General features: G+C 46.3%; 1 protein-coding gene across 10 annotated transcripts in view; it reads left to right on the top strand.

The window, feature by feature from the left end:
* The window catches only part of WDR59 (WD repeat domain 59), a 113,762-nt gene that overhangs the window by 33,276 nt on the left and 64,415 nt on the right, over positions 1-16,071 (top strand). For all 10 annotated transcript variants that reach the window (XR_007064915.1, XM_047434642.1, XM_047434640.1 and 7 more), the window contains 5 exons: positions 305-390; positions 2,050-2,130; positions 3,292-3,329; positions 9,022-9,110; positions 13,582-13,698. Coding sequence is in view for 6 of the 10 variants with exons in the window: in XM_047434639.1 (XP_047290595.1) it covers positions 305-390; positions 2,050-2,130; positions 3,292-3,329; positions 9,022-9,110; positions 13,582-13,698 (411 nt within the window). In the remaining 4 variants the exon portion in view is untranslated. The remainder of the gene's footprint in view (positions 1-304; positions 391-2,049; positions 2,131-3,291; positions 3,330-9,021; positions 9,111-13,581; positions 13,699-16,071) is intronic.

The raw sequence follows: 16,071 nt of genomic DNA, 5'->3' as shown, positions 1-16,071 counted from the left end.
CCCATGAAGCTCGTCTGCAGAAGTGCTTCTGCACCTTCAGTTCAGCTGTGACTGTTCAAGATGCATCTCTTAAGATAGTCCTGCCTTTCCATTTTGAGATTCACAGACCTACATACTGAGCTGAAGTTAGCTCAAGCTAATGTTAATTGTACTTATTCCTGATGGCTTTTTAAAGAAAAGTTCAGCCTGAAGGATCTTTGCCATGCATGAGATCCCTGGCTTCCTCTTCACTGCCTTAAGCTGATTGGGGCAAGACCATATATCCCAACATACTTGCCTGTGGCCTTCTTTCCTTTCTTTTCAGAGTAACCAACGAGTAGACCTTTACAAGTGGAAAGACGGCAGTGGGGAAGTTGGCACAACCTTACAAGGCCACACTCGTGTCATCAGGTAGGCACCAGCCCTCCACAGCTCTTTGGCTGTCTTGCTTTGTCACAGTCCCCTGGGAACGAAATGATGATGCCGTCCTCCTTGCATGGCTTGACTGTCTGTGTTGCACAGGTCCCGGGTGGTCAGCGGGTTATTAGCATTCACTGAGATGGTGGTGAAGAGCACAGTGAGGAACAGCCGGCATTTAGGAAGTACCATCGCGTAGCTGTTGACCCCCATCCCAGACCATATCCCGGATGGATATAGTCCAGTCCAGGGTAAAGGATTAGAGCTGACTTTTTTTTTTTTTTTTTTTTTTGAGACGAAGTCTCACTCTGTCGCCCAGGCTGGAGTGCAATGGTGCGATCTTGGCTCACTGCAACCACCGCTTCCTGGGTTCAAGTGATTGTCCTGCCTCAGCCTCCAGAATAGCTGGGATTATAGGTGTGCACCACCACGCCCGGCTAATTTTTTTTTTTTTTTTTTGTGGAGACAGGGTTTTACCACGTTGGCCAGGCTGGTCTTGAACTCCTAACTTGAAGTGACCCACCTGCCTTGGCCTCCCAAAGTGTTGGGATTACAGGCGTGAACCACTGTGCCTGGCCTAGAGCTGATTTTCAACATAGGAGAGGAGTGGTTATGCAGCAGAATCCCCCAGTTCATGATCAGTGGTGCCTGGGAGGACATGTGGATGTCAGGGAGTGGCCCTTGGCTTTCTCTCCGGCAGCAGCGGTTACAGAGCTCCTGCGTCACAGTTCATTACCCAAGGGCACAGCCGCCTCCCAGTCGAGGCTTCCAGTTGGTTTCGAGTTTTCCTTGATCCACTCTTTCCCTGGGTCACTGTTTCTGGGCTAAGCTGACCTGGAAGTGCTGGGAAAGGTGAGACACCTGGGTTGGGTGGAATGTTCTGTGCAGTTGCTGCCTGTCTAGGAAGGAGAACATGGGTAGGGGACACCACAGGCCTCTGGCCCTCTCTGGGTGCTGCATGGCAGTGTGGCAGTTTGCCGCTGCTTAAGGATGTTGGGTTTACCCAAGGTGCCTCTGGTGGAATTTGATTTAGAAAATGATAAAGATTACTTTATGTGTTTTTCCTTTGTTTGTTTATTTAGAGAGAGAAATTTTGTTTGTTTGTTTGTTTGTTTGTTTGTTTTGAGATGGAGTTTCACTCTTGTTGCCCAGGCTGGAGTGCAGTGGCACGATCTCAGCTCACTGCAACATCTGCCTCCCAGGTTCAAATGATTCTCAAGTAGCTGGGATTACAGGTGTGTGCCACCACGCCTGGCTAATTTTTGTGTTATTAGTAGAGACGGGGTTTCACCATACTGGCCAGGCTGGTCTCGAACTTGTGACCTCAAGTGATCTGCCCGCCTCAGCCTCCCAAAGTGCTGGGATTACAGTCGTGAGCCGCTGCGCTCAGCCCAGAGAGAGAATGTTTTAAGTTGAAGCACTCCATTTCTTTTCTGGGAGCAGATGATGGTATAGCTGGCGAAGGACCTGACAGTTTCCTTCCAAACTCATGTTCGTTCCCAAGGAACTTTGGAGATTCTCAGCCTAAACCACATTAAGAAGCCCGTTAATGATGACATTCTGAAGCCACTGGAGACTCGATGTGCTAGTGCTTTGGACCTGGACTCTGAATTTTTTTCCTTTTCTTTGTTCTGTTTATTCTTTGTGTCCCAGCGACTTGGACTGGGCGGTGTTTGAGCCTGACCTCCTGGTTACCAGCTCTGTGGACACCTACATCTACATTTGGGATATCAAGTAAGAACAATTAGGAGGCATAACCACTTGGTTGGGGGTGATTTGGGACCTTTGTTTTAGAGATCAAGTGTCTTAGTTTGGTTTCCCCTCGATACAGACCTCGAGACAAGTTTGAGTGAGAGATTTGAGCGCAAATATATTATTTGAGAGTGAAAGACACAGTTGTAGGGGGATAGAGAAGAGAGCCAGGACCTCTCCAGGCAAGACCTTAAGGAGAACTCTTCCCTAGTTAGAGTCTGTCCTCCCTCCCTCCCTCTCTCCTTCCCTCCCTCCTTCTTTCCCTCCCTCCCTCCTTTCCTCCCTCATTTTCACCCTTCCCCCTTCCTTCCTGTCTTTCCTTCCTTCCTCTCTTTCTTTCCTTTCTTTTTTTTTTTTTTTTTTTTTTTTGAGACAAGGTATTACTCTGTCACCCAGTCTGCAGTGAAGTGATGTCATCTCAGCTCAGTACAGCCTTGAACCCCTGGGCTCAGGTGATCCTCTCACTTCAGCCTCTTGAGTAGCTGGGACCACAGGCACTTGCCACCATGCCCAGCTAATTTTTATTTTTTTATTTTTTATTTTTGTGGGGACAGAGTCTTGCTGTGTTGTCAGGCTGATCTCAAACTCCTGGCCTCAAGCAGTCCTTCCACCTTGGTGTCCCAAAGTGTTGGGATTATAGGTGTGAGCCATTGTACATGGCCTGTAATTTGTTTTCTTTCTTTCTTTCTTTCTTTTTTTCTGAGACAGAGTTTTGCTCTTGTCGTCCTGGCTGGAGTGCAATGGCACGATCTTGGCTCACTGCAACCTCTGCCTCCTGGGTTCAAACAATTCTCCTGCCTCAGTCTCCCGAGTAGCTGGGATTTTAGGTGCCTGCCACACGTGGCTAATTTTTGTATTTTTAGTAGAGATGGGGTTTCATCATGTTGGTCAGGCTGGTCTCGAACTCTGACCTCGGGTGATCCGCCCACCTTAGCCTCCTGAAGTGCTGGAATTACAGGCATGAGTCACCGTACCTGGCCAGCAGGTCTCTCTTTAGACTTCTTTTTAAGGCCCTCACAGCGGATCTACCTACTCCAAGTTCCCACTGAAAGGAAAGCGAAGAATTGTGTGCAAAGGGTGAAAAATACCAGGTGGGTGGTGGCATATAAATTGGGGATTTGATTTTTTATTTTTATATTTCAGAGACACAAGGAAACCTACTGTTGCACTGTCTGCTGTTGGTGAGTGTATGCTTCTCCCACCTCACCCTGGCGCCTTGGTTTGTCTTCATTTTCTTCCTTCCAGTTCTTTCCCGTTCCTTCCTATTCCTTTCCATCTCCCTCTCTAACTGCCTCTGTCTGGGCTGCGCCGTGGCTGAGTGGAATTGTAAGTCTCATGTTGTTGCAAGGGGCTCACTTTAGGCTGCTCCCAGAAGCCACAGTTAGGACTGTTGGGTGTGGAGCAGGACCTCATATCAGAGTCCAAGGACAAGAGCCAAGATGATTTGTTTGTAACCTTTTTATAGTGGAAAATTTCAAACATTCTGTAAAAATAGGGAGAAGAAAATGAACTGCCTGTGTTCATCGTCACCTTCAACACTTGTCATCATACATCCAATTTTATTTCATCTTTTCCTCCACCCACCATTTCACCTCCACCTTCATCCCCCTTGTGATTTTTTTCTTTTCTGAGACAGAGTCTTGCTCTTGTTGCCCAGGCTGAAGTGCAGTAGTGCAGCCTTGGCTCACTGCAGCCTCTGCTTCCCAGGTTCAAGCAATTCTCCTCCCTCAGTCTCCCAAGTAGCTGGGATTACAGGCGCCTGCCACCACACCTGGGTGATTTTTGTATTTTTAGTAGACACAGGTTTCACTGTATTGGCCAGGCTGGTCTTGAACTCCTAACCTCAAGTGATCTTCCTGCCTTGGCCTCCCGAAGTGCTGGGATTACAGGTGTGAGCCACCATGCCCGGCCCTCTTGTGATTATTTTGAAGCTACATATCTTATCATTTCTTCAACAAGTATTTCAGTGTATGTTTTGCAAAAGAAGAATCCCAATATCATACTTAAAAATACCTAAAAATATTAACAGTAACTCTTTAATATCATCAAGTATCTAAGCAGCATTCAGATTTCCCCAATAGTCTCTCTCTCTTTTTTTAGTTACAAATTGTTTGAAAAATGGTTTCAGTGAGAATCTAAATAAAGTCCATACCTGTAAGTGGTTGATATATTTCTCATCTTTTTAAGTCTGTCTCCTTCTCCTTTTTGGGTTTGTGTTTTTCTTTTCCTGTAGTTTATTAAAGCAATAGTTCATCCTGTGGTTTCTCCACAATTAGATTACACTGATTGTATCTGCATATTTTTTTTGTTTTGTTTTGTTTTTGAGACAGAGTTTTGCTCTTGTTGCCCAGGCTGGAGTGCAATGGCGGGACTACAGGCATGTGCCACCATGCCCGGCTAATTTTGTATTTTTAGTAAAGATGGGGTTTCTCCACGTTGGTCAAGCTGGTCTTGAACTCCCGACCTCAGGTGATCCACCCGACTTGGCCTCCCAAAGTGCTGGGATTATAGGCTTGAGCCATCGCGACTGGCCCATGGTGTTGTTTAACATGGATGAACCAAGTCTTTGTAGTTACATTCTGATCTACCTGTTTTCATTGCTTAGTTGGAACTGACCTTTTCTGGAATTCTCAACTGGGGCTACTAGGGAATATTCCCAGCACTTCCTGAGAGTAGAATGTGGAATAGAACTGGTATAACTTATTTACAGAGATAAAGCTAAATTGTCAATATTTTGACATCCTTTATAAAAGCATGTGTTATCTGTCTCTTAAATTCTGTCCGTTTGTATCTCCTTGGTGCATTGGAACACACATTTGGTGTTTGCTCTGAAATGGTTACTGTACATGGTACTTTTTCCCTCTGTACCCCACGCCTTTTTATGTAAAGGCCTTTAGCATCATGACTGTATTAGCAGCTGGATGATATGATTTGTGAAGTTAGAAACCACTTCTTTCTTTCTTTTTTCTTTTTTTTTGAGACAGATCCTCACTCTGTCACCCAGGCTGGAGTGCAGTGGTGGAATCTCAGCTCACTGCAACCTCCACCTCCTGTTGTTCAAGCGTTTCTCCCACCTCCGCCTCCCGAGTAGCTGGGATTACAGGTGCGCACCACCACACCCAGCTAATTTTTGTATTTTTAGTAGAGACAGGGTTTTACCTTGTTGGCCAGGCTGGTCTCGAGCTCCTGACCTCAAGTGATCTGCCTGCCTCGGCCTCCTAAAGTGTTGGGATTATAGGCGGGAGCCACCACACCCGGGCAGAAACCATTTCTTTCTTATTCAGTTCTGTAGACGAGTGTATGTATTTGTGCGCTACAGGCATTTGTGCCTGATCCAAGGAGATACTTAATATAGTAATACAGTAATCCCCCCTCATTCTCAGGGGACACAGTCCAAGACCCCCATTGGATGCCTGAAACCACAGATAATACTGAACCAAATATACTATGTTTCTTTTCTGTACATACATAACTAGGATAAGGTTTAATTTATAAATTAGGCACAGTAAGTGATTAACAGCAACAACTAATAATAATAAAATAGAACAGTTGTAACACTGTACCGCAATAAAGGTTATGTGAATGTGGCCGGGTGTGGTGGCTCACGCCTGTAATCCCAGCACTTTGGGAGGCTGAGGCGGGCGGATCACCTGAGGTCAGGAGTTCGAGACCAGCCTCAACATGGAGAAACCCCGTCTCTACTAAAAATACAAAATTAGCCGGGCGTGGTGGTGCATGCCTGTAATCTCAGCTTCTTGGGAGGCTGAGGCAGGAGAATTGCTTGAACCTGGGAGGTGGAGGTTGCGGTGAGCGAGATCACGCCATTGCACTCTAGCCTGGGCAACAAGAGCAAAACTCTGTCTCAAAAAAAAAAAAAAAAAAAAGTTATGTGAATGTGGCCTGTCTCTCTCTCTCTCAGAACGTCTCCTTGTACTGTACCGGGAGTGACTCACACTGTAGAAGGTGGACCCGCGGATAAGGGGGACTGAGCATTTGTTGCATGGATAGATGAATCAAACCCCTGTGCTTCTGCGCTAAGTGCTTAACAGTTCCACTGCTCTGCCCCCCGCCACCACCTGCTTTAGGTACTTATGATCTGAGACATAGACTGGCTGCAGAGGGCGTATAACTGAATAGAAATACAGGTGGTCTACAGATGCCTCAATCACATTCTCCTGACTTTGTTACTTACATTTATAGGTTTCTTTTTTTTTTTTATTTTTGAGACAGAGTCTCGCTCTGTTGCCCAGGCTGGAGTGCAGTGGCATGATCTCAGCTCACCGCAAGCTCTGCCTCCCAGGTTCTCGCCATTCTCCTGCCTCAGCCTCCCGAGTAGCTGGGACTGCAGGCGCCCGCCACCATGCCCGGCTAATTTTTTTGTATTTTTAGTAGAGACAGGGTTTCACTGTGTTAGCCAGGATGGTCTCGATCTCCTGACCTCATGATCCACCCGCCTCGGCCTCCCAAAGTGCTGGCATTACAGGCGTGAGCCTCTTCGCCCGGCCACATTTATAGGTTTCTAAGTTAGATTAGTTTTAGGGAAACCCTAAAAAGGACGGTGGTTCTTTTTTTATTTGAGATGGAGTCTTGCTCTGTCGGCCAGGCTATAGTGCGGTGACACGATCTTGGCTCACCGCAACCTCCGCCTCCTGGGTTCAAGCGATTCTCCTGCCTCAGCCTCCCGAGCAGCTGGGACTGCAGGCATGGGCCACCACACCCAGCTAATTTTTGTAATTTTAGTAGAGATGGGGTTTCACCATATTGGCCAGGCTGGTCTCTAACTCCTGACTTTGTGGCCTACCTGCCTCGGCCTCCCAAAGTGCTGGGAGTGAGCCTCTGCGCCCAGCTGAAAGTGGTTCTTTTTTTAGCCTGCCTGTTCTCATTGCTTTTTTTTCTGTTATAGATCTTTCTTAAAAAATGGAAGTAGAAGACTTCTTTCCTTTGTACTCAGTGAGGTTTCTCAGTGGTGCAGATCTACCCTGGGGGAAAAGAGGCAAGTGAGAGGCTTGTGGACCTTGATAAGCTGCTGGATCTAGCATACCCCGAGTGGTACAGCCTCGGGTACTGCCTGCTTCCCAGAGCCTGTGGTCCCCATCTCTCAGGGGGCACATTATTCATGCCCTTTGGGATAGGGAGTCACGTTGTGAGTATTCCAGAGTGTTCTCTGTGTCTGAGAGTTCTCATAGCCCGGGACCTCCATTCGACCCTGGTGTAATGATTTTTTTTTTTTTTTTTTGAGACAGTCTTGCTCTGTTGCCCAGGCCTGAGTGCAGTGGTGCAGTCTTAGCTCACTGCAACCTCCCCCTACTAGGTTCAAGCAATTCTCCTGCCTCAGTCTCCCAAGTAGCTGGGATTACAGGTGCACGCCACCACACCTGGCTAATTTTTGTATTTTTAGTAGAAACAGCGTTTTGCCATGTTTGCCAGGCTGGTCTTGAACTGCTGACCTCAGGTAATCCGCCTGTCTCAGCCTTCCAAAGTGCTGGGATTATAGGTGCAAGCCACTGCGCCTGGCCTCTGGTATAATGATCTTGATAAAGCAGGTTGCATTGAGGGGGCTTCCCAGAGTCCCTTGGGAGCCCTCGAGTTCTGATGCCTCCCCACTGGGAAAGGTGTGTTCTCTTGGACTCTTAAGTAACTCTGTCAAGGAGGTAGAGCAAGCTCTTCTCACTCACTTTCTCCTCCAGCTGATATCCTTCCGTGCGAAGAAGCCACCTCCTAATACTCTTCCTTGCTTCATCTTCACTGGTCTCCACCATTTGTTCTAGATGACATAAGATACCTTATGTCTCAAGAAAGAACAAGACAGACAAATAGTGTCATCAAAACCAACACAGCATATCCTTGGACAGGACCAAGTTCTGGGCTTAATGCTGTATGTCCTGTTAGATTCTGAGTCATTGCTCTGTCCTACTCTGGACTTCTTGGATCAAGTAGCTCCCCAAAGCTGTGGATCTACTATGGGCTTCCTCAGTAATAAACACCAGGCAGAGGGACAGGTGTCACAGCAGTAATGTCATGTGTGCTGTGAGCAAGGGCAGGAGGAGACAGGAAGGAGTGCTGTCACTTCAGTTCTGGTTTGGTTCTTGATTAATGATTTATTTTTTAAAAGTCAGCTAGAGGTGCCACTGTGTCCCAGTTTTCCATGTCTCAGCTCTTTCTGGCATCTCACATTATGCCTCCTGTCTTAAGTAGCCCTTTTGTCACTAATGTATCAATGACACTCTGTATTGGCAGAGAGGGAAAAGGACTGAGGTCACATACTGCCAAGGGTGTTCCCTTTCCCTTATCAGTGTGGTGCCAGTGGCCACGGCTGACATAGCTGATGGGGAGTGGGGTGCGGGGAGCATGTAACCCTTAGGACAGAATTGGTCAACATCGGGGCTTATTCTGTAGCTGGTCTTCAGCTAAGGCTGTGTTTTTCTAAGACTATTGCTCAACAATTAAAAAAAAAAAAAAGGGGGCAGGCATAACAGCTGAGGCTGTTCTAATTAGGAGTGCGAGCAGGTGTCATTTGGGGATGAGAAAGGGTCAGGTTGTGTGACAAGTCAATTACTAGCCAGCAGTGCCATGCTCAACTACTGCTCTGTAAGAAACTATGTTTTCCTGCTGATTCTGCTCAGAGTGACCTGTAGATTTTTTCCCCTGAGATTATTTCCTCAATTAGGTGACTATGATCCTGTTCCCATGTGTTAATTCATTTATTTTTTGGCTTCATTTTATCTGGAATAGTGGAGTTGGTGCAGTCACAGAAACTTGAAGGGTTCTGGGCTTATTCAGCCAGAACTCATTATCCAGCTCCCCTGGCTGTGCTCTGCTCTGCTTCCGAAAGCACCAAGGGCAGCAGCTTTCTTCCCTGATTTTTCTTTGCAGCGGGTGCCTCCCAGGTCAAATGGAATAAAAAAAATGCTAACTGCCTTGCCACCAGCCATGACGGCGATGTGCGGATATGGGATAAGAGGGTGAGTAATCTCTTTTTTCGCCCTTATTGGTCTTTGATCCCTCCCAGAGGGTGTGAAGATGATTTTATGAGTGCCAGGACTTGGCTTGAGAGTCTGGGGAACCCTGTGCAGCATGGTAAATGACCATTTTAAGCTCATAGTACCAGACGATATTTGCGTCTCAATCCAGTGTTGAAGGAAACTAGGGAAGTGAGACATTAGGAACAGTGGTTGAAAAAATCAGCTCCATTTTGCCACCTCCTAATTATGACACCAGGTAAGCCACCGTCACTTCTCTTAACCTCAGTTTCCTTCAAAATAAAGACACTAACAGTGTGTGTGTCAGTGGGGTTAAGCCGTGGAGCCCAGGCGCTATTCTAGAATTGTCAGCAGGCTTCTTATCCCTGCCCCTGCTTGCAAAGTGAAATGTATTTGTTCTCGGATGCCTGCCATCCTGAATACTTCCAATAACGATGAGCAAGGTAGGGTGCTCATGATGCTTACATTTACTCTTACAAGCCTAGACATCCCATCAGCCTCAAAGTATTGTGCATATCACTCATACGTTCTTACTGCAGCAGCCCATGGACACCTAGAGATGGAAACAGTGCTGGGTCCTTGGCTGTGGCTGTAATGGAAAGTCTACTGAAGTTGATTGTGTTGGCCTCAGTGAGGGTCGTGGCACAGGGAAAAGGCCTCCCCTGCATTGACTGCCAGACTGTTAGGTAATAATGAACAGAGCCATCACTGCCATGAGACCTGGGTGTAAATCCTGCTTCCTGCCTGTGAGACCTGGGGCTACAGATGCTCAGGCATTGTGGGGATGGCTTGTTCAGGGATGTCCCCACTGTCTTATCTTCCGGCTGCTCCCTTCCCTCCATACGTTTGGAAGAGAAGCGAGAAGTGGAGCAGAGATCAGGCGTGGCAGATCCTGTCTGCTGCATTAGGCTCCAGGACATGCTGGGGAAGCCTTATGTGGCAGAAGCCCTCTGCCTTAGATAGCTCTTAGGTGAGAAGGTGATTTCATAGAGGTTGGGCAGGTGCATCTTCTTTTTTTTTTTTTTCTTGAGACAGAGTCTCATTCTGTCGTCCAGGCTGGAGTACAGTGGGGACCTTGGCTCACTGCAACCTACGCCTCCCAGGTTCAAGCAATTCTCCTGCCTCAGCCTCCCCAGTAGCTGGGACTATAGGTGCACACCACCACGCCCAGCTAATTTTTGTATTTTTTAGTAGAGATGGGGTTTCACATGTTGGCCAGGATGGTCTTGAACTCCCGACCTCAAGTGATCTGCCCACCTCGGCCTCCCAAAGTGCTGGGATTATAGGCGTGAGCCACCACGCCTGGCCACATCTTCTATATGTTAGTTTTTGTCTTCTGTTCCTTTATGGCCATTTTCCCCTTCTTTTTTTTTTTTTTTGAGATGGAGCCTCATTCTGTCACCCAGACTGGAGTGTAGTAGTGTAACTATGGCTCACTGCAGCCTCGACCTCTTGGGCTCAAGCTATTCTCCTGCTTCAGCCTCCTGAGTAACTGGGACTACAGGTACATGCCACCACACCCAGCCAATTAAAAAAAATTTTTTTTTTGTAGAGACAAGGTTGCTGAAGCTGACCTCGAACTCCTGGGGTCAAGCGATCCTCCCACCTCAGCCTCCCAAAGTGCTGGGATTACAGACATGAGCCACTGCTCCTGGCCTTCTTTATTTCCTAACTAGTGATTGGTTTTATTCAGTTTGTCACTATAACAGCATTTTCGGCTGGGCGCGGTGGCTCACACCTGTAATCCCAGCACTTTGGGAGGCTGAGGCGGGTGGATCACGAGGTCAGGAGATCGAGACCATCCTGGCTAACATGGTGAAACCCCGTCTGTACTAAAAATACAAAATTTAGCTGGGCGTGATGGCGGGCGCCTGTAGTCCCAGCTACTCGGGAGGCTGAGGCAGGAGAATCGCTTGAACCCGGGAGGCGGAGCTTGCAGTGAGCCGAGATCGCGCCACTGCACTCCAGCCTGGATGACAGAGCAAGACTCCGTCTCAAAAATTAAATAAATAAATAAAATTAAAATAATGATACTTAGGACTTCTGCTCAGGTGAGTTGTAGAACTTGTTGATTATATTTTCACTTCTCTGGCACTTTGTAGTGTCAAAGCAGCACTGATGGCAGCAAGCATTACAGACTTCACAAAGTTCAGTGTCAGTGCTAACAGTGGATTTTAATCCAGACTCATGTATGACTATCATATTAACATTTACTGAGCATTTATTGTACATAGGCCTTCTTTTAAGAGTTTTACATTTATTGATTAATATCTCTTTATAATTAGCCTTTAAAGTACATGTTTTTGTTTGTTTGTTTTTGTTGTTGTTTTTTTTTTTTTGGGAGACAGAGTCTCACTCTGTTGCCCAGGCTGGAGTGCAATGGCGCATTCTTGGCTCACTGCAACCTCCACCTCCCAGGTTCAAGCGATTCTCCTGCCTCAGCCTCCCGAGTAGCTGGGATTACAGGTGCCCACCACCACGCCTGGCTAATTTTTTTATTTTTAGTAGAGACAGGGTTTCACCGTGTTGGTCAGGCTGGTCTTGAACTCCTGACCTCAGGTGATCCATCCGCCTTTGCCTCCCAAGGTGCTGGGATTACAGGCGTGAGCCACTGCGCCTGGCCAGTGTGTGCTATTATTATCCCTTTTTTACAGATGAGTAAACTGAAGCAAATTTGCTGCCAAAATTTGAACCCAGGCAGGCTGGTTCTAGAGACTGCTCTCTGTTTTTTGTTTTTGAGACAGTCTCCCTCTGTCTCCCAGGTTGGAGTGCAGTTGCACAATCATAGCTCACTGCAGCCTCAAACTCCTGGACTCAAGTGATCCTCCCAGCTGAGTAGCTGGGACTGCAGGTATGCACCACTATGATGAGGTAATTAAAAAAATTTTTTTCTTGTAGAGATGGGAATCTTACTGTGTTGCCCAGGCTGGTCTTGACTTTTGGTCTCAAGTCATCCTCCTGCCTTGGCCTCCCAGAACACTGGGATTATAGGTGTGAGCCACTCCACCCAGCCTGGAGACTGCACTCTTATCCTCATAGACTAATGCTAATTATGGAAGTAATACATGCTCTCTGTAGAAAATATAAATGAAAAAATAAAAATCATTCATAATCCTACTACCCAGAGACAAATGCTAACATTTTGGTGTTTTCTGTTCTTATGCTTTTTTTTTTTAAACTTAGTTTGTCGTACTGTGTACGTAGTTGTGTACACTTTTTTTTCATTTAACATTAGAACAGATGCATTATCCTCGTACTATAAGCTCTAAGTATAATTTTCAGTGGCTACATCATATTGTATCATCATTTGGTGTCGCATAGCTGTAGTATATTGATTCAGCTTCATTATTTCCCATTTGTTGATCATTTAGGTTTTTTTTCTGGTTTTCTAGTGTTTCAGATAACACCAAGATGAACTTCTTTTATATCTAAAGCTTTTTGTGAGTTTGGATTATTCCCTTAAGACAGGAAAAATTTTGGGCTGGGAAAAGTGGCTCAAACCTGTAATCCCAGCACTTTGGGAGGCCATGGCAAGAGGATTGCTTGAGGCCAGGAGTTCGAGACCAGCTTCACCATGTTGGCCAGACTGGTCACAAACTCCTGACCTCAGGTGATCCACCCACCTTGGCCTCCCAAAGTGCTGGAATTACAGGCATGAGCCACCGTGCCCGGCCTGTTTATTTTCTATGCTTATTAATCATGTATTGTTTTTTTTTGTGATGTACATTCATTCTCCTTTGGAATCTTAGTGCTCCATCACTTTAAGATGCATGGTTTTACCCTCTTGTTGAAGCTGAGTCCATTTGGATGTCTCAGTCTCTCTTCTTGGGTGATCATGGGGGAGACGAGTGGGAATTGTCAGACTGCACTGTTAAAGTGTGAGGCCGGGCACAGTGGATCGTGCCTGTAATCCAGACACTTTGGGAGGCCAAAGCAGGGGGTTCGCTTGAGCCCAGGAGTTCAAGACCAGCCTGGACAACATGCAAAACCCCATCTCTAGAAAAAATACAAAAAAATTAGCCAGGCTTAGTGGTGTGCACCTGTAGTCCCAGCTACTTGGAGGGCTGAGGTGGGAGGACTGCTTGAGCCCAGGAAGTTGAGGCTGCAGTGAGCTGTGATCGTGCCACTGCACTCCAACCTGGGTGACAGAGCAAGACTTCGTCTCAAAAAACAAAAAAGGGGGTGAAAAGCACCTACTACCTTGTATCCTTCATTGAAGTGGGAAGAAACGAGGCTCACAGGCGCATTTTCAGAGCATGTGAAGGAGCGTTGGATAAGTCTTTTGGTGATGGTGTTTTGTTTGGCTTAACCAAAACAAACAAAGTCTGTGTAGGGTAGAGACAGTATCTGGTAGTATTTTTGCATCCTCACTCACTACCTAGCAGACTTTTACGTGATAGACACTCAAAGAGTTCTTTCTAAATCGATAATATTAGGTGCTGATCTGTTGCAGAAACCCAGTACAGCAGTGGAATATCTAGCCGCCCACCTCTCCAAAATCCATGGCCTGGACTGGCACCCAGACAGCGAGCACATTCTTGCTACCTCCAGTCAAGACAATTCTGTGAAGGTCAGTGGCACCCATGGGGAAGTTGGAGGAGCAGTGTTTGGGTGGCATCAGGGATGTATGATTCCACCTTGGTTGGAAAGCTGCAGTGTGTTAGCACAGTATGTATTTCACGGTGCATGTGCTTCTTGGGCAACTGAACACATAAATTTGGTTATGCTGACCAGCAAAATGCGACAGAGCGAGACCCAGCATGGTGCTGTTCAGCATAACCACATTGTGTTATGATGGCAGAGTGACATGCCATAGCATCTCCTCTGATACGTCTCTTAGAATTTGTTCAGAAGGTTTTCGTCTTTCCCTTTGTGAAAGGAAGTCAGAGACAAAAGTACTTAGAAAGGGAAAGAAGTTGGCCGGGCATGGTGGCTCACACCTGTAATCCCAGCACTTTGGGAGGCTGAGGCAGGCAGATCACTTAAGGTCAGGAGTTCAAGACCAGCCTGGCCAATATGGTGAAACCTAGTCTCTACTAAAAATACAAAAATTAGCTGGGTGTGGTGGCGCACACCTGTAATTCCATCTACTTGGGAGGCTGAGACACAAGAATCGCTTGAACCTGGGAGGCAAAGGTTGCATTGAGCTGAGATTGATCCACTGCACTCCAACCTGGGCGACCGAGCGAGCCTCTGCCTCAAGAAAGGGAAAGAGGTTCCCTTGCGAAGAAGCTGCAAGGAAGTCAGATATGTATGACAGATATAAGTAAAGGAGAAAAGTCTACAGTTGTTAAGGTTTCAAAGTTTACAATTAGTCTATTCCTGGTGGAAAAACAGCTGCTCCCTCACATGCTTATCGTATGTAGAAAGTTCTGACGTTTTCAGGCATCAGCATTTCACAGTTCAGGGATAGAGTCATTTTATTAGTGATTCTCTAACTTACAGGAAATGCTCAAGATTTTATGTGTTTCAGTAACCCGATTATTTCTGGTTTATCACAAGGTACAGTGTTGTTTGTTTGTCTTTCCTCTCTGTGACATGGGATGTTCACCCTTGGTCAGAATGATGGCAGGGCAGAGTCATCTTTGTTCCAGTAGTTCCTCCTTGTGGTCAGGTCTCTGAGGACAGGGGTTTGACCACAGAAATTGGTTTAGCAATTTTATGATTCAGTGTCATTTATTTAATGCTTTGTTGTATTTATATAGTCATATATGACATCTTTGTGGTATGATTAGCAAAACTACAGTCATATACTAAGTTAAAAGTTAACTCCTGTCTTGAAGTTTGTAAATCTCTTAGGGTTGTAAGTTATTTTTAATGTGTCAGATGTGACTTTTTTGTTTGTTCGTTCGTATTACGTTTGATTTTTTGTTTTTATTTATTTATTTATTTTTTGAGACTGGGTCTCACTTTGTCACCCAGGCTGGAGTGCAGTGGTGTGATCTCGGCTCACTGCAACCTCCGCTCCTGGGTTCAAGCGATTCTCCTGCCTCAGCCTCCTGAGTAGCTGGGATTACAGATGCACGCCATCATGCCTGGCTAATTTTTGTATTTTTAGTACAGACAGGGTTTAACCATGTTGGCCAGGATGGTCTCGAACTCCTAACCTCAAGTGATCCGCCCATCTCGGCCTCCCAAAGTGCTGGGATTACAGGCATGAGCTACCATGCCCGGCTGCATTTGGGTTTCTGTCCCTGTACCCCAATCAGCTTGTCTCCCAAGTTCAGGAACCAGAAGCCATCCAGTTCAACTCTACCTCTTTCTATGAGATGCCCAAGTTTGTTGATACTCAGTGTCATCTTTCCTACCTGTGAGTCTGGGGTTTCCTAGGTAATAAAGCAGGTAACAGCCAGTTTCCTGGGAGGACTTTATATATTTTTTCTTTATATATAGATATATACATATCTATATAGACAAAGAGAAATATAAAGAAATATCAGAAGAGCCTTGGTCAAAAAAGAACCAGGTTTCCTTGAGGGTTGATGTCCTAGGAAACAGACTCAAAGCTACGTGTTTCTCACCAGAATGTACCAAGGGTGGTCGGGCATGGTGGCTCATGCCTATAATCCCAGCACTTTGGGAGGCTGGGGCATTATTTCCCCATACAAAGTCTTCTCTGTTCTTTACCAGCAGGCTTAGCTTATTAATGAAATGAGATTTTTGGCATGGTATTTGATTTATTCCACTATATCCTAGAAGGAAGACAATTTTTTTTTTTTTTTTGAGGTGGAGTCTTGCTCTGTCACCCGGGTTGGAGTGCAGTGGCGCGATCTCGGCTCACTGCAACCTCCGTCTCCCAGGTTCAAGCGATTCTCCTGCCTCAGCCTCCTGAGCAGCTGGGATTATAGGTGCATGCCACCATGTCCAGCTAACTTTTGTGTTTTTAGTAGAGATGGGGTTTCACCATGTTGGCCAGGATGGTCTCAATCTCTTGACCTTGTGC

This window comes from Homo sapiens, chromosome 16 (assembly GCF_000001405.40).
Source record: "Homo sapiens chromosome 16, GRCh38.p14 Primary Assembly".
Lineage (NCBI taxonomy): Eukaryota > Metazoa > Chordata > Mammalia > Primates > Hominidae > Homo > Homo sapiens.
The sequence above is the reverse complement of the archived record's forward strand: the minus strand, read 5'-3'. Positions and strand labels throughout refer to the sequence as shown.